General features: G+C 61.4%; 1 protein-coding gene across 1 annotated transcript in view, besides 8 other annotated features; it reads right to left on the reverse strand.

Annotated features, from left to right (window-relative positions):
* The window catches only part of PIEZO1 (piezo type mechanosensitive ion channel component 1 (Er blood group)), a 69,883-nt gene that overhangs the window by 43,091 nt on the left and 9,080 nt on the right, over window positions 1–17,712 (reverse strand). The window lies entirely within an intron of this gene.
* Window positions 4,789–5,548: an enhancer, noted in NCBI's record as "H3K27ac-H3K4me1 hESC enhancer chr16:88829625-88830384 (GRCh37/hg19 assembly coordinates)". NCBI's record gives its function as "activates a minimal SCP1, AML or CMV promoter by ChIP-STARR-seq in naive and primed H9 embryonic stem cells {active_cell/tissue: H9 hESC(naive and primed)}" and the evidence as "EXISTENCE:reporter gene assay evidence [ECO:0000049][PMID:30033119]".
* Window positions 5,153–5,447: an enhancer, noted in NCBI's record as "tiled region #10451; K562 Activating DNase unmatched - State 25:Art". NCBI's record gives its function as "activates a minimal TATA promoter and a strong SV40 promoter by Sharpr-MPRA in K562 cells {active_cell/tissue: K562}" and the evidence as "EXISTENCE:reporter gene assay evidence [ECO:0000049][PMID:27701403]".
* Window positions 5,549–6,310: an enhancer, noted in NCBI's record as "H3K27ac-H3K4me1 hESC enhancer chr16:88830385-88831146 (GRCh37/hg19 assembly coordinates)". NCBI's record gives its function as "activates a minimal SCP1, AML or CMV promoter by ChIP-STARR-seq in primed H9 embryonic stem cells {active_cell/tissue: H9 hESC(primed)}" and the evidence as "EXISTENCE:reporter gene assay evidence [ECO:0000049][PMID:30033119]".
* Window positions 9,205–9,790: an enhancer, noted in NCBI's record as "H3K27ac-H3K4me1 hESC enhancer chr16:88834041-88834626 (GRCh37/hg19 assembly coordinates)". NCBI's record gives its function as "activates a minimal SCP1, AML or CMV promoter by ChIP-STARR-seq in primed H9 embryonic stem cells {active_cell/tissue: H9 hESC(primed)}" and the evidence as "EXISTENCE:reporter gene assay evidence [ECO:0000049][PMID:30033119]".
* Window positions 9,791–10,374: an enhancer, noted in NCBI's record as "H3K27ac-H3K4me1 hESC enhancer chr16:88834627-88835210 (GRCh37/hg19 assembly coordinates)". NCBI's record gives its function as "activates a minimal SCP1, AML or CMV promoter by ChIP-STARR-seq in naive H9 embryonic stem cells {active_cell/tissue: H9 hESC(naive)}" and the evidence as "EXISTENCE:reporter gene assay evidence [ECO:0000049][PMID:30033119]".
* Window positions 10,375–10,958: an enhancer, noted in NCBI's record as "H3K27ac-H3K4me1 hESC enhancer chr16:88835211-88835794 (GRCh37/hg19 assembly coordinates)". NCBI's record gives its function as "activates a minimal SCP1, AML or CMV promoter by ChIP-STARR-seq in naive H9 embryonic stem cells {active_cell/tissue: H9 hESC(naive)}" and the evidence as "EXISTENCE:reporter gene assay evidence [ECO:0000049][PMID:30033119]".
* Window positions 11,543–12,126: an enhancer, noted in NCBI's record as "H3K27ac-H3K4me1 hESC enhancer chr16:88836379-88836962 (GRCh37/hg19 assembly coordinates)". NCBI's record gives its function as "activates a minimal SCP1, AML or CMV promoter by ChIP-STARR-seq in naive H9 embryonic stem cells {active_cell/tissue: H9 hESC(naive)}" and the evidence as "EXISTENCE:reporter gene assay evidence [ECO:0000049][PMID:30033119]".
* Window positions 12,127–12,710: an enhancer, noted in NCBI's record as "H3K27ac-H3K4me1 hESC enhancer chr16:88836963-88837546 (GRCh37/hg19 assembly coordinates)". NCBI's record gives its function as "activates a minimal SCP1, AML or CMV promoter by ChIP-STARR-seq in naive H9 embryonic stem cells {active_cell/tissue: H9 hESC(naive)}" and the evidence as "EXISTENCE:reporter gene assay evidence [ECO:0000049][PMID:30033119]".

Here is a 17,712-nt window from a genome sequence, read left to right on the forward strand (position 1 = left end):
CCATCCCCAGGGCTCCTCCTGCTGTGATGCCAGTCATACCCGTGGCTCATAGCAGCTCATGCGTAACTGCTTCTCCCTGAGCCTATGACAGAGGCAGTGCTTGGAAATGCAAACCCACTGCCCCCACTCCACAGGCACCCACGGACTCACAAGACACAGCAGATGCAGGAACAGCCTCGGCACCCACCTGCAGAGCAGGCCAAGCGGCAGGGGGTGCGGCAGAACCCTGTGGGTCGTGTCTGTATGTGCCCTGCAGAATGACACCACTGGGCTCTGGCCCTGACCTCTCACAACTGCTGAGATGACCACAGATGAGCCCAATCTCCTCTGTCTTAGTTTGTTCGTCTATAAATCAAGAACCATAACTCCCTCCTCACAGGATTGTCGCAGAGACAACAGTGCCTGACACATAGCATGAGAGAGCAAACATGCACCAATCCCTGTGGCACTGCCAAGTGATACAAGCCACAGAGAGTCAGACGCCTACCATTCCTTTTGTGTAAAACTGAAATTCCACATGTCTAGGATGGACAAAAAGGCTGAGGAAGATCCACACCAAGCTGTTGCGTCTGCTCCTGCAGAAGAGGTCCTTGGTCCCCCCTACCCACGGCATTTCCCTTTTTTACAAGGGGAATGTTTTCATGCGTTGCTGGAGTTATCAACAAGTGAACTGGTCAAAAAGGAAAAGGACTGGAGGAAACAGACAGAAGCAGGGCAGGTCGCTTGGTCCAACCTTCCTCTCATCAAAGGAAACAGAAGCTGGGAAGGACATCAGTCGTCTGAGTCCCCAGAGCTCACAGCGGCAGCTGCAGGGCTAGAACCTGGGCCTCCTGGCCGGGGCAGGCACCTTGCTAGGTCTTGACTTCTTTTGCTACCAGCTGAGCATGGGAAGCTCTGAAAGGGGCCGGGTGAGGGCAGGCGAGGATCAGAGTTCGCGGATGACAGCTGCCAGGCCAGGGCAGCTACAGGGAGCCGGGGTCCTGGTCCAAGCCCCAGCTGCCCTCCCCCTGGCCTGCTCCAACTCCTGCAAGAGCGCTCTCTGCCTTATTTGGCTTGGAAGAGAAACCGATAAACACTCCCGTGCTAGTGCTTTCGACGGTGGGCGGGGCCGGGCAGAGGAAGAGAGGAAGAAGAGCAGACGTGGTACAGGCAGCTCCTGGCGGCCGCTGCTCTGCCCTGCTCTGCAAGGGAGCCTGCTGGGCCTTCCCTGCCATGACCCCAGGCAGAGCACAAAAAGCAAACCCAGACCCAGAGGGGCCATGAGGGCTCAGACGGATCCCACTTTTATGGAAGAAGAAGGCTGGCAAGGTTGGCCCAGGGGACGGGGGGAAGCCAGCCCGCCCCCAGACGCCCCGTGCAGCGTTCACAGCAAGGTCTATGGAGGTTCACACGGGCTGCATGGCCTACCACCCCAGAGTGCCAGCACAGGAGCCTTGGACAGCAGACAGAGGGGGAAGCTGTGTGGGGAGGGGACCTGGGGGGCTCCCCCAATGGAGGCCGAGCCCGGCCAGGCCCACCTTCACCAGCCACCCTGGCATCCGGGCCTGCTCCGCACAGGCTCCCAAAACCCCAGCTGCTTCACTCCTTCTCCGCGCCAATCCCCACCTGCCCCTCAAAGGCCCCAGCGGACGTGACACCTGGTCCACGCCTGGCCCACCCTCCACAAGCAGAGGTCCTGCCTCCAGCGCCCACCACCCCACACGCCCACCTCGGACCTCGCCGGCGGGGCCTCCGTGCCCTCAGTGACAGTGACCCCGGCCGTGGCTACAGACGGCTGAGCCACGGGCTCCGCTCCCCCGGGGCGCTGGACCGTCTCAGGCTGGGATCCTGCACGGTTCTCTGTCCATCCCAATCCACCCCAAGCTGAGGACTGAGGAAGCCCCTCTTCCTGCCTCATGGACAAAGAAGAGTTGAGAGAAACTCAAGAAAAAGCCCAGTCTATACTCTCTGTCCAGCAATGAGAGAGAAAATGGATTCTAGAACACTTCACAAAGCTCTAAAAACCTCAGAGACCTTTGAACCAACCCCTGTCATCTCATGGGAGAACCCCAGGCCCTAGGAGAGCTTTGTCCAAAGGCAACAGTGGGACGTGGCCACAGGGCAGGCAGCACCCAGGGAGCTCAAGACAGGCAGGGATCCGAGGGGAACGACCCGCCTTTAAGGCAGCAGGACCCAGGGAGCCCAGGACAGGCAGGGGCCCGAGGGGAGCCACCCGTCTTCGAGGCAGCAGCACCCAGGAAGCCCAGGACAGGCAGGGTCCCAAGCGGAGACACCCGCCTTTGACGCAGCAGCACCCAGGGGGCCCGGGACAGGCAGGGGCCCGAGGGGAGCCACCCGCCTTCGACGCAGCAGGAGGTAAACGGAATGTTCCTCACCTACTTGGAGCCCGGCCAGCAGCCTGGGGCACTGAGGAGCTTCTGGACCATTTAATTAGCTCGGTGTCCAGGTTTAATTAGCTCAGTGTCCAGGAAACTCAGTTTTATGGCTCATCTGACCTACACGGGGCAGGGTCCTGCAGGCCTGGTGGCTGCTGTGGGCTGGGCACCCACCGCACCTGCCACAGCCATCTGCTCTCAGACCTGCTGGCGTGGAGAGTCAGGACACCCTCCCGGACACACTCAGCCCGCAGCCCCTGGAGGGGTTTGCAGGGCAGGGTGGGGGTCCGTCTGTGAAGAAGGTGACTGTGCAGGAACAGAGGGTCAGCAGGCACCTGCTGCACACAGCCACGTGGGTGGGACTGGGGGAACTGTCTCTGCCCAGGGAGCGGGGCAAAGCCCACAGGGTCCTGCAGGCATCAGCCCCTGGGATTCTCCCACAAGCCAGGGGTGACTCCACCACGCCCATTTCACAGATGAGCACACAGAGGCTGCAGGAGGGGAGGGTTCCCCAGGTGACCTGCTGGTGGGTGGAACAGTGGCACCTGCACATCTGGGCCTGAGCTCTTGTGGCACTGCCCTGCCCAGGAGGGCACCAGGCTAAGAGTGACTTGCAGGGCACGATGGTGCTGACCAAAGGCCCAGCGGCACGGCCCGAGGCAGAAGCAGTCTGGTCCCAAAGCCGCCGCCTTCCGGTCCCCACACCATGGCAATGGTTGTGCTTGCGGGGTGGGGGCGGGTGAGCTGGGAGGTGCCTTTGCGTTCTCCCCGATGCTGCTCAGCATCCCATCCCCATCTTCATGGTACTTGGGGTCCGCAGTGAACGACCCCCAGCATGGCAGGAGACCAAGCAGAGATGAGAATGCCCCACCCCACGCGTGAGACATCCCCCACATCGGGGCCTGGGTGGCCCTTCCCCCACTTCCTCCTGACCCTCCCCACTGCCCTCCGCACCTCCCCCTCCCTCCCAGGGCCTGTCCTTCCCCACAGACGACCAGCAGCGCTGCCAGGGTGTGGAGGCCTCAGAGTTTTTCTGTGCTGGGCTCCCCTGCAGGGTCAGGGATCTGGGACTCATCCCTCAGCAACAGAGAAGGGGACAGATTCCAGGGCATGGGTGAGGCCTGCGTTCCACACAGAGCAATCCCCTGACTCTCTGCGCAGGTGGGTTCCTCGCCAGCCCCCGCAGCCTCTCCAGAAAGGGAGGAAACCAGGGCTTATCTGGGCAGCCATCTCTGGCGCAGATACAGGTAAATAGGTGGGGGACAGTGGGTAGAGGGTGTGGCCCCAGGAAGGACGCAGGTCCCGGAATGTCTGACGGAGCCGACCCTATGCCCCCACTGTGCCCTGGGAAGGGAGCTGGGTCAGGCAGAGCCACCTCTGTGAGCAGCAAGGTCTCCCTCCCGGCCCACCCAGAGCTCAGGGGTCTGGGCAGAGCCCAGCTGAAGAAAGGGCCCCCGCTGGCCTTTGCACACAGCAGGCACTCAGAGGGGCGGTGACAAAGTAAGACCTCCCACTCAGCTCTCCTTCCTTCACACACCATGGCCTCCCCCACCTGAGGTCAGTGATGGGCACTTTCCTGCCACCCTTGGATCGGCCCTGCCCACTGGCCCCCATCTGAGCTGCAGGCACTGCCCTCCTGGATTCCTGCTGCTCGACAATCCCGGGGACGGCAGGACCCCCTCCAGCCCCAAGGAGAGGATGTGTCTGGGGAGGAGAAGGGGCTCCCAGCCAAGCGGCCAACCCTGACTGCCAAGGGTAGACCCCCAGTGGTGCCACGGCCAGAGGGGTTTGCCAGGTCACCCGTGGCAGCCAAGGCAAGGAAGGGGCAGCCTCTCGGGTCTCCCGGCAGCCCACAAGTGCTGTGTCGGCCCTGACCCTGAGCTGTGTGCCAGGAAGTGGCTTCTGTTGTGCCACTTGTCAGACGGGGAAACTGAGGCACGGTGGGCTTACAGGGCACTGTGTGGACAGTGTGGCCTCCCACAGCTTCAGCCGCCCTGCACACAAGCCCTGACCAGGCCTAGCTGAGAAGGACAGCCACAAGGTGGTCCCTCGGCCAGCAGCTATGAGTTCACAGGTCCCACAGGCTCTTTCCTGAGACCCCCAGTCCCCAATACGCCCGAGCCCCCACCTTATACCCAGGAGCTCCAGGCTGCAGGACTAGGAATTGGCAGCTCCCTAAGAACCACAGCTTTCCATGAGCAGCCATCATGGGGGTAGCCCGTCCAGAGGGTGCAACCAAAACAGTCTGGCCCTGGGGCACTTGGACAGGGTGCAGGTCCAGGGGTAGAGCCAGAGACACCTGGCGTTCCAGGTCATGATTCAAGCCTGCCCAGGGGCCAGCTGGTGAGCTAGCAGCCAATGTCCTCCGGAGATAGGGATGAGACGCAGGGCCGGCTCCTGGCGGCTCAGGGCACTTACGGGGGCCCAGTTCCTCTAGGAGGGCCCTGCTCGAGGTCTCAGCCTGTGAGCAGCTCCTGTGTGAACAGGGCGGCCCAAGGCAGAAGCTGGAGGTGAGCAGAACCGGCTCCAGACCAGCAGCCAAACCCCTGCTTCTTCTCTGGGATTCTGTCTCTTCATCTAGAAAGTAGCAGTGGGCCAGGTATGGTGACTCCTGCCTGTAATCCAGCAGTTTATGAGGCCAAGGCAGAAGGTTCGCTTGACCCTGAGAGTTCAAGACCAACCTGGGCAACACAGGAAGGCCTCATCCCGATTTAAAAAACAAAACAAAACAGAACAGAACAGGAAGGCACTGACATGCCTCGTCACCTGGAGCTGCCAGCCAGGGTCTGGCGTGATACAAATGTGCAGAGTGAAGAACCAGGTCAGGGCAGCACTGGGTAACAGCCGGTAGGTGCTCCCTGACACTCTCTGGCTGACCCAGGGAGTGGACAGCACATTCCAGAGGCCGCATGGACCACAATGATTACATTGATTAGCATGGAAGGGCCGATGTTAAGGTCTGGGTAAACAAGGTCGCTCTGTGACCTGGAGCTGGCCCCGCCCCCAGCATTCCAGACTAATTGAGAGGGTAAGATTCCTGAAATGAAGGCTTTGGAAGCTAGGAGGCAGCTCTCCGGGCTCTGTGAGGCCGTCACAGCCATCCTGCCCCAGGCACACCTGTACACCTGCACACAGGGTCGGCACGCAGGGGGTCAGGTGTGGTTGGAAGCCCGTGGTTCAGAGGGGTTTCAGGAGCCCACAGCCTCCTGGGGGCCAAAGTGCACGATGAGCCACAGTTAGCACCAGATGCTGAGCTGGGTCCTCAGGGAAGGCTTCCCCGGGGGGCACCAGAGCAGGACCCAGTGGCAGGAAGGATCTGGGAACATCAGATGCGAAGGTCCTGGGGGAAACCCAGAGGTCATGAAGCTGCGGAGGGTGGGGCGGGGTACGAAAGGGGATGTGCCTTGAGACACGGGGTCTCGGCCACAGGAGATGGGGTCCTCTTGAAGCCCCAGCAGCAAGCACGTGGCAATGCCCTCCCGGCGCCCAGGTTCCATATAACCCATTCTCCAGAGCTGAAGTCCACACCACCAGCGTCGCTGGATCCTGAGCAGGTAGATTCTTAGGCTGAGGTTCATCCAAACCCAGGCGCCATGTTCTAAAGTGTCCTCTGGGAAACATGAACGTGCTCTCCAGGCAGAGATCACGCGTCGACATTCCCCTGCCAGGCCGGGCGCGGTGGCTCACACCTGTAATGCCAACACTTTGGGAAGCTAAGGCGGGTGGATCATGAGGTCAGGAGTTCGAGACCAGCCTGGCCAACATGACGAAACCCCGTCGCTACTAAAAATACAAAAATTAGCCGGGCATGGTGGCACGTACCTGTAATCCCAGCTACTCGGGAGGCTGAGGCAGGAGAATCGCTTGAACCTGGGAGCCTGGGATCCCAGTGAGCTGGGATCGCACCACTGCACTCCAGCCTGGGCGACAAGAGTGAAACTCCGTCTCAAAAAAAAAAAAAAAAGAAAGAAAAAAGGAATGCCCCTGCCACGGCCTGCCTTTGACTCCCAGCATCATGCCGTGACCTCCCAAAACGAGGACTCCGCCCTCGGCACCAGGGGCAGACACTGGCGACCACTCCAACCATGGCCCCAGCAACTCACCCCAGAGAGGCAACAAGGGCTTCCTAAGAAGCCTGGCCATTGAAAACCTCCCGGTAGCCGCCTCTCAGGAGCACTGCCTTCTCAACACAGCTACCTGGCCCTGGCAGACCCGGCTGCCCACTGTGTCCTCAGCGGTGCTGGACCCAGGACAGAAGATGGGGTGCTGACTCAGAGCCCTCACCCTGTGATTTACCCAGCGGCACCCAGCCCCCTGGCCTGTCCAGTCTGGCCTGTCTAGACTGCCCCAGGGCCCAGTCACAGGCTGGCCTGCTCTCTAGGGACTTCCCCGGCACTCAGAGAGGAATGCAACCTGGCCACCTCCCTCGCAGGCAGGAGGGGAGTCACCAGCCACTCGGAGGCAGCCTGGAGAGGGGGTGTCACGGGCAGGTGTCTGGTCACACTCCCTTCAGAACCTTGCTTCCCCTTCCCCCCAGGCCACTGGGACAGGGCAGGAGAGGGAGGGGAATCTCAGGGCAGGTGTCCAGGATGGTCGTACATCATGTCTGTGTACTTCTGCAGGAGACTGGGGTCTGGTCCTAGCTCAGCCCTCCCCTCTCTGTGCCTTGAGTTCCCAGTAAGTGAAATGGGGACAGAATTGGGCACCTGTACCAGAACCATCTTGCCCTCCCAGTGGATGCCACCCCAGAAGCACTGCCCGGACACGTGGCCAGGTGAGCACCTCGTATAGCTGGCAAGGGGCTGGACAGCAGCGCCTGGAGCCTGGCTCCCTGGTCTCTAGAGAGCCCAAGTCGTTATCTCTAATTTTTTTTTTTTTTTTTTTTGAGACAGAGTCTCACTCTGTCGCCCGCCCAGGCTGGAGTGCAGTGGCACAATCTCGCGCACTACAACCTCTACCTCCTGGGTTCAAGCGATTCTCCTGCCTCAGCCTCCCGAGTAGCTGGGACTACAGACACCTGCCACCACACCCGGCTAATTTTTCTATTTTCAGTAGAGATGGGGTTTCACCATGTTGGCCAGGCTGGTCTCGAACTCCTGACCTCAGGTGACCCGCCCACCCAGGCCTCCCAAGGTGCTGGGGATACAGGTGTGAGCACTGCACCCGGCCGCTATCTCCATTCTGAACAGGGTGCTGAGGATGGAGGAGGTGCGACCAGAGACATCACATGCGAGTCAGCGCACGGCTGTGTTCTCAGTCGGCAGCGTGGGTGCCGTGGTCACGCCTGCGGGTGGGGTGTGAGGGTTGATTCATGTGTCAGCGCTGCTGGGCCACGCTGCCCAGTTTAGTCAAACGCCAATCGCAATTTGGTGTGCAGGTGTTTTTAAAATGAGATTGATTTAAATCAGCAGACGGCATGAGGGCCTCATCCAATCAGCTGAAGGCAGGGGAGTGTCGCCTAAGGGCCCGGAGGAGGAATTCCCAGGACCGCCACAGAGAAGCCCGGCCTGAGCGCACAGCCTGGACTCGAGACTGCAACAGCGGCTCTTGACAGCCAGCGCGCCCTGCGAACTTCAGACGTGACAGCCCCACAATCGCGTGCGTCAGCTCCTTAAAATAAATACCCATTTCACAGGTAGAGAGACATATCAATATATAACAAGCACCAGGCTGGTGTGGCCGAGGCCTGGGGACCCCGAGTTCCTGCCGCCTGTGTGGTCCCTCCCAGCACCTGGCAGGGCCCAAAGGGGAAGCTCAGGCACACACCCACCTACCTCCGGGGCCCTGGGCCCAGCTGACTGAGCTTGACAGCCAGCTCTGCTGCCACAGGGCTGGGGCGAGTGGGACGCCGGGGGCCCCCACACATACTCTGGAAATTCAACAAAGTCATGAAGCAACCAAGGGAAAAAAATCAACATTCTGGGCTCATAACCACTAGGTGGGCAGGGCACTGCCTGGCTCTTCCCCAGGATCACCAGCCCCAGAACGGGGACCCGGCCCCAGCTGCTCTCAGAGCCACAGGGACGATCACCTCAGGCCACGAGGGCCGGGGCCACCCCAGGTTGGAACCCTGGGCCCAAACTGGCTAGAGTGGGCCTCAGTTTCCCCTTTCCATGAAATCTCAGAGAACATTCACTTTCCTCTTCTCCACTTTCAAAAGTTTTTAAAATGCAGAGAAGCACAAAGTAACACCCAAGGTCCTCACAGTCAGCCTGTGAGTGCCGCGACTGCTCTGCCCGCACGAGCCTATTCTACCAAGCACAGCTTTCCCATCAGCTTCTCCGATCGATTGGCTTCCCTGATTGATTGATTAGCTTCTTCCCGGATTGAGCTGCAGTGCGCTCTTCACTCATCTCCCCATTCCTCCCCCTTCCCAGAAGGAAACGGTCTCATGAGTCTCGGGACATCCTTACGGGAAGGAGACATTTCTGAGTTCTGGAATTCCATCCAGGGCCATCTGCAAGGGCATCCCTGGCCTGTGGCTGTGCTGAGACCCCTGGGCCAGGTCCTGCCCATGAGGAAGGAGGTCAGGGGGCTGTGCTGGGAGAGCTTTAAGTCACAAAAACAGGCCCCCACAGCCCAGAGCCCCCCAGCCCTGATCCCCCAGAGACCAGAATGACTGAGGCAGGAAGGAAGGGGACCAGCCACAAGGTCGAAGCTTCAGTCAGCTTTGGAACTCCCCCACTGCAGGTGACTGGCTGGGGTGGAAGCCGCCAGCTTCCCTACAAACCCCTGCTCCTCTCCCATCTCTCTCAGGACCCCAAGAGCCACATACCATCATACACTTGGCCACTGAGCCAGAACCCACATTTGCAGGGGGAGCCCATGTCATCCTCAGCCACCTAGGAAGGCGGAGTCACTGCTGTCCCCTGGCTCAGAGGAACCAGGGTCCCCAAAGGTCACAGGGTGAGGCCACCCAGCCAGGGAGGGGCAGAGCCAAGCCAGAACATCTCCGCTGAGCCTTCTGCCTCAGGGTGACCCCACCCTGCCCTGCCCTACAGCCCCGAGTCAGGACTACAGCCTTGAGGGATCGAGGGGACTCAAGCCAGCTTCCACCACTGAAGGGCAAAACCCACACTCCCTGACACAACCCCCAAGCCCTCGCAGACTTCCCGGGCTCCCTGACAGCACGAGACTCACGCACATGCTTCTCCCGCTCCCTCCCCCGGGTCCAGACCCCAGGTCCCTGAGATTTCCCCCAGGCCCTCCAGAGGGGACCCCGTGGACCAGACCCCTTAAAGCAGAGGTCTGCAAAGTGGGACCCACGAGCCCCCAAAGCCATGTGCCACCACAGTCGTGTCCTGGGGAGGGGGGCCCAGGGCCCAGGGCCCAGCCAACCTCACGGGCCCAACCTCGGTCCAGGGCTGCCAGCTGGTGGGGCAAGAGCTGGGCTCCTCTTGTGCGGCCTGGCACACTGCCTGGGCCTCGCAGCCCCTCCCCCCACATCCCAGCTTAGCTGCTGGACCTTATGGCAGGGTGTCCCCATAGCTGTTCCCACCACGGCAGGCCGGCTCCAAGAAGCTCCCCGGGCCAGGAGGAGAAGCTGATTAAGTGGCCACTTAAGAGCAGAGAGTGGATTGTTCCCTGTGGGGGGTGGGGAGGGGACTGGACGGCCCTGGCTAAAACCTATGCGCGTGCTCAGTTCCTGGAAAAAGGGGAGTGAGAAAGACGGACACACTGCCCTCTCACCCACCACATCCTGTTTTTATGGAAAACTAATCCAATTCCTAACAGCAGAGCGAGCAGCCGAACTCCCGGGGGTCCCGGGTGGCCCTGACAAGCAGGTTGTGGGCGGGGGCTCCCTAGTCCGTGGGGCAGGAGCTCGTCCACAGGGCAAGAGCGCTTCCCTCTCAGCCGCTCCTCCCTTCTCCCTGGGGAGAGGCCAGGATGGATGCGCCCTTCCTGGCAGTGAGGGGCTGGCTGACCGTCCCCACCCCTGCAGCCTCAGCCAGGCCCTGCTCCCTTCTAGGCCTCGGCCAGTCTGGGGTGGGGGCGGTGCCCACAATGGGCAGGCCAGCGACACCGCGAGCTGCAGGGCCCAGTCCGGGGCACAGCAGTATTGTGGCTGCAGACCATGGGATCTGGAGCCAGAATAGCCATGGCCGGGGCCGGATGCACCTTGGCAAAGCAAGCTGGGCCTCAGTTTCCTCATCTGTACAGTGAGGACACCAGCCCTATTCACTGCAAAGGCCACACACTGAAGTACGCTAGGACACAGCAGCACCCGCGCCCACACTTGCTATGCAGAGTGGGGGCCCCTCATCCAAAGGGGCCAGAAGTATTTCCAGTTTAGGATTTTCTGGATTTTGGAATATTTGCACACGCATAATGAGGTATCTTGGGGATGGGACTCAACACAAAATTCTACTCACATTTCAATATATACCTCGTACACATACCCTAAAGGCAGTCACATAATTTTGTGTAAATAATGACGGGGGTCTCACTATGTTACCCAGGCTGCTCTCAAACTCCTGGCCTCAAGTGATCCTCCCACCATGGCCTCCCAAAGTGCTGGGATTACAGGTGTGAGGCCACCACGCCCAGAGCATACTTTCAATAATTCTGGCTTCTGACTGTGACCTGGCGTATGAAGTCAGGCCTGGAATTTTCCGCTTGGATTTAGATTTCGGACTTGGGGACTGGGATGCCCAGGCTACACCATCCTCGCATTTTCCTTACCAATATGAAGACAGACCTGCGGAACGCCTCGGCAGCAATGGAGCTGTGGGACCGGTCCCGCCTCCTCTCCTACCACTGCACATGACCGGAGCCCCCACCTCACATCGGCCGGCTCCATTCCTGAGGGTCAGGGCCAAGCCTGGGGACCTGCAGCCTCCAGTCAGCACGCAGGGAGCAGAGCAGGGAGAGGACCCCGGGCCTGGCTGTCACTGCTTCCTCCTGAGGACCTGAGCCAGGTCTGGGGCTGAGGCTCAAACACAACATGTAGCTCTGGTGGGCGGAGCGTGGTGGGAAACAGGGAGGGGCCAGGGTGGGCGGGGCCAGGACGAGCCTCATGTCACCTCTGCTAGCTCAGAGCTGGCCCTGCTCCTGCGCAGGTTAGAGGGAACAGAGAGGCCGGCATGGGGCGGAGTGTGGTTAACAGATCCCCTAGGGGGTCACACCCCTTCCAATGCCACATGGCGGGGCAGCAGGGGGCTCTGAGGCCCTCCTAACCTACTCCAACCTGGAGGCTCGGGACCCCCACGCCTCTGCCCCTGAGAGAGGAAGTGAGGGACTGTTGACGCATGGCCCGTCCCCAGGGAAGAGGACTGATGCCTCCCAGGGTGTTCTCCCTGCCCACACGCCCCAGCCCCTCCCCACCCTCTCTCCAGGCAGAGAGTGCACAATCCGGTCTTCCCAAGCCTCGGTCTGTCGGGACAGAACCTGCCAAAGCCAGAGGAGGCCTGCAGGCAGCCCCACAGGACGCCTGGCAGGCGGCTCCCAGGACGTATCCCCGAGACCTCTCAGCCTGATGCCTGTGCACAGCCCGCTCCCCCATGACCCGGTCACACCTGCCCCCCAGCCGGGCCCCGCCTGCATCACTTTCTGGCTATGGACTTGGGAGCTGGCTCGACCTTTAGGAGTCTGCAGTTCCTGTCTGTGGGGTGGGGGGACGGGAGCGGCTGCCTGGCCAGGCTGTAGCGAGGATGGCACGGTGAAGAGTCCAGAGTCTGCCAGGACACTGAGCAGGGCGTTCTCCTCAGGGGCGGCTCCAGAACTGCAGTCCATCGGGAGAGGTGGCCGTTAGTGCGGGGGCCCCGCCATGGGCGGTGCCTGCCTGGGCCGCTCCCTTCCCCCTCAGCCTGAACACGGTCCTGGGTGGGGGTACTCTCCCGCCAGCTGCCGAGCACGTCCACCACCTGGTGCCTTCACTGCCAGTGACTCAGCCAGGCCGGCTGGCAGCCCAGCCGCACCAAGTCACCCTGAGCACGCCCCACGGTTCCCACGGAGCAGTCAGGTCCGGGCCAGGCGTCCTCCACTGGGCCCCGCGCGGCCCTGCCATAGGTGACACCAGCCACCACCAGAGTCGCTGGGCCTCATGTCCTCACCTGGGAGGCCAGTGAGGTGCCCTGGGGGCTTGGGCGAGGAGCTCTAACTATAGGAATCCGGTGGGCGGCACTGGAGAGACTCCCTGCCGTCACATGCCCTGAGCGCAGGGGATTAAGAGGCTCTGGGCCCTCTCATCTGCAGGCGGGGCCTGGGCGGAGCAGCTCCACCCTATCACGTCTTGCTCTGTGTTGCAAGGTCCTTCCGCCCCTGTCACTTAGCAGGTGGTCTCAGTCCCGGAGAGCCAGAGCCGTGAGGCAGAGCAGGGCAGGCGCTAATCTCACAGGGAGATAAAAATCAACCGTGCGAAAGGCCCCACAGAGCGACCGCTACTGGCACCGGGCCCAGCCTTGCAGGAACTCTGCACCCAGTGACCCCCCCTTGGGAGGTCCAGACCAGTTCCACTCTTAAGGACGAAGTGCTGGAGGCTCAGAGAGGCTGAGAGATTCACCCAACCACCGGCCCAATGGTGCTCAGCAGCAGAGCCAGGACTGGGAGCCTCATCTGACTACATACAGCTAGGAGTGCGGCGACAACAAGAAACCAGGCCAGGCGGGGCTCCCATCCCACCGCCTCCCTTGCCCTGCAGGCCCCAAGCCCAGCAGGCAGGGTAAGGAGCACACAGCTTTCTTGACTGGGGGCTCGGCTCCCCACGGCTCACGCAGCTGCTGGGCTCAGGGGCCACACACGCCCAAGCCTGAACCTCAGCAGGGCCACTCGACAAGTGCCCTATGACAGTGTCCAGCGGAGGTCCCAAGCTAGCCATGGGGGTCCCCCTCAGCCCACAGTCAGAGCAGGGCCATAGGGAGGTGCTGGGTGGGACAAGGTTGCAGAGGTGACACTAGTGGAGCCGACGTCCAGATGCCCGTCCACCCGCGGCCCCAGGCCCTCCTGAGACTCTATGCCCGTCCACCCGCGGCCCCAGGCCCTCCTGAGACTCTATGCCCGTCCACCCGCGGCCCCAGGCCCTCCTGAGACTCTATGCCCGTCCACCCGCGGCCCCAGGCCCTCCTGAGACTCTATGCCCGTCCACCCGCGGCCCCAGGCCCTCCTGAGACTCTATGCCCGTCCACCCGCGGCCCCAGGCCCACCTGAGACTCTATGCCCGTCCACCCGCGGCCCCAGGCCCTCCTGAGACTCTATGCCCATCCACCCGCGGCCCCAGGCCCTCCTGAGACTCTATGCCCGTCCACCCGCGGCCCCAGGCCCACCTGAGACTCTATGCCTGTCCACCCGCGGCCCCAGGCCCTCCTGAGACTCTGGTCAGGATGCCTGTCCACCTGCGGCCCCAGGCCCTCCTGAGACTCTGGGCATGGCTGTCAGAATGACCATCCCTGGTGCCATTGAGACCCCAGATCCAGCACCTGTGTCCAGCGCTGAAGTCCCAAGTCTGTGTCCAAGCTCAGAAGGAGGGCCCAGAATCCCAGACGTATCATGGCAGCAAGTGAGCCGGGGGTTGGGACAGGTAAGCAGGCTCTTGTGGCTTAGCCACCAGCTCGGAATATACTTTCCATGTGGACATGAGGCCCAGGTGCCAATAACCAACAGCCACGCTGGAGCTGAGGGCCCTGGGAGCCTGCAGGCCCCAGCCCACAGGCAGGTGGCAGAGGGCACGGCTTCCTCCCTCATAAAAAGGCCCGTGCCTGGCAGGGCACAGTGGCTCACGCCTGTAATCCCAGCACTTTGGGAGGCCGAGGCAAGCAGATCACGAGGTCAACAGATCAAGACCATCCTGGACAACATGGTAAAACCCCGTCTCTACTAAAAATACAAAAATGAGCCGGGCGTGATGGTGGGTGCCTGTAATCTCAGCTACTGGGGAGGCTGAGGCAGGAGAATCGCTTGAACCTGGGAGGCGAAGGTGGCAGTGAGCTGAGATCGTGCCACTGCATTCCAGCCTGGCCAAAGAGTGAGACTCTGTCAAAAAAAAAAAAAAAAAGGCCTGTGCCCCCTCCTCCCTGTTCTCTGAGGGGGATGCCCGCCGCAGCCCTGGCTCAGTCTTCATGTCACCCCCTTGCAAATGTGCAAGCTCCTGAGGCCGCAGGCTGGGGTGGGCCATGGCAGGGCCAGCCTCCCCTCCAAACACCCACGGGACACGTGAGTGGAGGCACATGGCTTCCAGCTGGCCCCAGGGGTGCCTGGAAGACTGTGTCAGCCTCTGGAATGTGAGGCGGCCTGTCTGTCCACCCAGAAGCTTCTGGCACTCCAGGGAGCTCGAGCTCGCTGTGCTCTGGAAGCAGCAATTACTCCTCCATCTGTCACCAGCGGCTCCAGCCAGCCCTCAGGTCCACGTGCCTCCTTCCTCCTGGGTCTCATTGATTCAGGCTGAGCCTCCCCCTCTGGCCCCCCAGTAACTCCCGGCGTCACGCCCAGGCCCTCGCTCAGGGGATCTGAGTAGAGGGGAGGCCTGAGTCAGGACAGCCCTCCAAGAGTGGGCAGCCAACGAGGGACCCCCTGAATAAAAACCGCAGAGGAGGTCTGCCCACCTGGCGTGGGGGCCAGGGAGGAGGTGGGCAGGGGGAGGGGCCTTGCCCGAGACCAGAGGTGGCTGGGGGCCGAGGGTCGGCAGGAAGCCAGGCGACCGATGGGCGCAGCACAGACTGCCTCCACGTGGCCCTGCACAGCCTGGCCTCACTAGGGGAAGGGTGAAGACAGCAGCTGGCGCTTCCCCTCAAAAAAACCCTGGGGGCTCAAGGCCACCCCTGAGGTCTCCAGGCTCCTAGGAACAGGGCCTGACAGGGAAAAGGCTGACAGGCAGGTCGGGGGACTGGACAGCAGCTGCCTATTGGGTGACAGGCAGGTCGGGGGAGTGGACAGCAGCTGCCTACTGGGTGACAGGCAGGTCGGGGGAGTGGACAGCAGCTGCCTACTGGGTGACAGGCAGGTCGGCGGAGTGGACAGCAGCTGCCTACTGGGGGTGAGGGCTCCGGCCACCCTGCACCCAGTGTCCTCCTGGGTGGTCTTAGGAAGAGGGTCACTCGACCCCAGCCCTCCAGTGCAGGGCCCCACCGGAGCTTGCTCTGGGCACTTCTGGCCCTGCCAAAAGTCCCCTCAGGTGCCACCATCCCTGACCACCAACACCTCCCTGCAGGTCCCCCGAGTCCCTTCAGCACCGCAAGCCTCCTCCCCGCCACTGCTGACCTTCAGAGATTGGGGCCCCTCCAGGCCTCCCTCTCCCCTGGCTTGGAAGTTCTGTGCCCGGCGATAAGGTCTGGGATGCAGCTCCCAACACAGCAGGAACCGGTCACCAGGCAGGGCTGGGTGGGCGTGGCCTGAGCTTCTAAGCGCATGACTGTCACCTCCTCCTGGCCTCTGCCTGGGCCCCCTTCCCACCCACAGGATGGCGACGCCCAGTGACTCCCTGACCAGGCTGTAATAATATAAACTAGAGGTCCAGCCTGGTGATACATGCCTGTAATCCCAGCTACTCAGGAGGCTGAGGCATGAGAATCGCTTGAACCCGGGAGGCGGAGTTTGCGATGAGTCGAGATTGTGCCACTGCACACCAGCTTGGGCGACAGAGCGAGACTCTGTCTCGATAAGTAAATAAATAAAAATAACAATATAAACTGGAGAAAGACACCCGTGGGTGCTGAAGGGGAAAACAGGACCCAGCTGTGATAGCCAGGACAGCTCAGGGTCAAGGAGACTCACTCCTGGGCTCCAGAGTCCCCAGCAGCAGCCTGGGCACCTCTGTATACCACGTGGAGGAGAAACGGGTGGGCATCGCTGGCCCAGCTGCAGGTCTGAGTGGGGGTCCCAGGAAGCCTGAAAAGGAAGCCGGCAATCCCGCGCTGGACCCATGAAGAAGGGCCGACCAGACAAGGATGGGGCCCAAGGGCAAAGAGACCGCTTGTCTTATGCCACAGTGGCTGGGGAGAGCACTCTTAGGGTACATGGGGTTCCCTGCAGGATTCCGCAAAAACAGGGCACCCCGGAGCCGGCTGCGCAGGAGCGAACGGTGCCCACATGGTCTAAGATACCTCAGCACAGCCTCCTGGGCGCTGAAACCACCCAGGCATTCAGAGATGGTAATACCAGGCCTGGGAATTAACCCCAGAGGAACCAGTCAAAGGAAGGAAAAACAGGCGCAAAGATAGTGGCTATGTAACGACAGGGCGGTGCTGGGAGGCAGGCTCACTTTGCAGGGACCCAAAGGCACCCACTCCATCCAGCAGACACCCAGGGAGGCCCCGGCCCAGACAGTGAAGACGACAGAGTTCCCGGCCGTACCCGTGACACCCAGGACGTAACGGAGTGAGGGGACCAGGGACTCCGGAGCATGGCAGAGGGGCCGTCCCTGACCCTGACAGGACGCAGGCCCTGGGGAGAGGCCTGGCTCCTGGAAGGTGAGCAGGATTGCCTGGCACAGGCTGGAGCAGGAGGCAGAGGCGCCCACACAGGACACAGAGGATGCCGGGGCAGACCTAGCGGCCAGTAGCCAGGCAGAACAAGGCCCAACACAGGCTGAATGCCATGGCCACCCACACAGGGAGAGGACGTTCAGTGGCAGGTAGAGCCCCTGAGCAGAACCCCCAAGAGTGTCCGGGCTTCATCTGAATGAAATGCCTGCTCTTAAAAACACATGGCGGGGGCCCGGCGCAGTGGCTCACGCCTGTAATCCCAGCACTTTGGGAGGCCAAGGCAGGCGGATCACCTAAGGTCAGGAGTTTGAGACCAGCCTGGCCAAAATGGTGAAACTCCATCTCCACTAACAATACAAAAATTAGCCGGGTGTGGTGGTGGGCACCTGTAGTCCTAGCTACTTGGGAGGCTAAGGCAGGAGAATCGGTTGAACCAGGGAGGCGGAGGGTGCAGTGAGCCAAGATCGTGCCACTCCACTACAGCCTGGGTGGCAGAATAAGACGCTGTCAAAAAAAAAAAAAAAAAAGAAAAGAAAAAAGACATGGCGAAGGGCAGGACAGGAGTGGCAGCCAAGGGTAGGGAGAGTATGTGCAGGAGGCTGGCTGATGGCACCAACAGGTCAAAAGACAAAAGACCCCATTGTTTAAACAGCTGGGAGACTTGAGGAGACTCCTCAGAAGAAGGCAGTGCACACGCAGAGGCAAAGGCCCTCGTTAAGCACCCAGGTCACTGCAGATTAAAGCCACGGGAGGCGCCAACCAGAGCCGGAGCCTGGCTCCAGCATGCGCAGCACAGGCCGTGGGGCAGTCGGGGCCTCAGAGCCAGGCCCACGGGCTACAAGCTGGGGAGCGCAGGGGCAGTTTCCTTTCAGGTTAAACACGTGCCACCCAGGACCCGAGATCCCACACTGTGGTGCACAGAA

Source organism: Homo sapiens, chromosome 16, assembly GCF_000001405.40.
Source record: "Homo sapiens chromosome 16, GRCh38.p14 Primary Assembly".
Taxonomy (NCBI): Eukaryota; Metazoa; Chordata; class Mammalia; order Primates; family Hominidae; genus Homo; species Homo sapiens.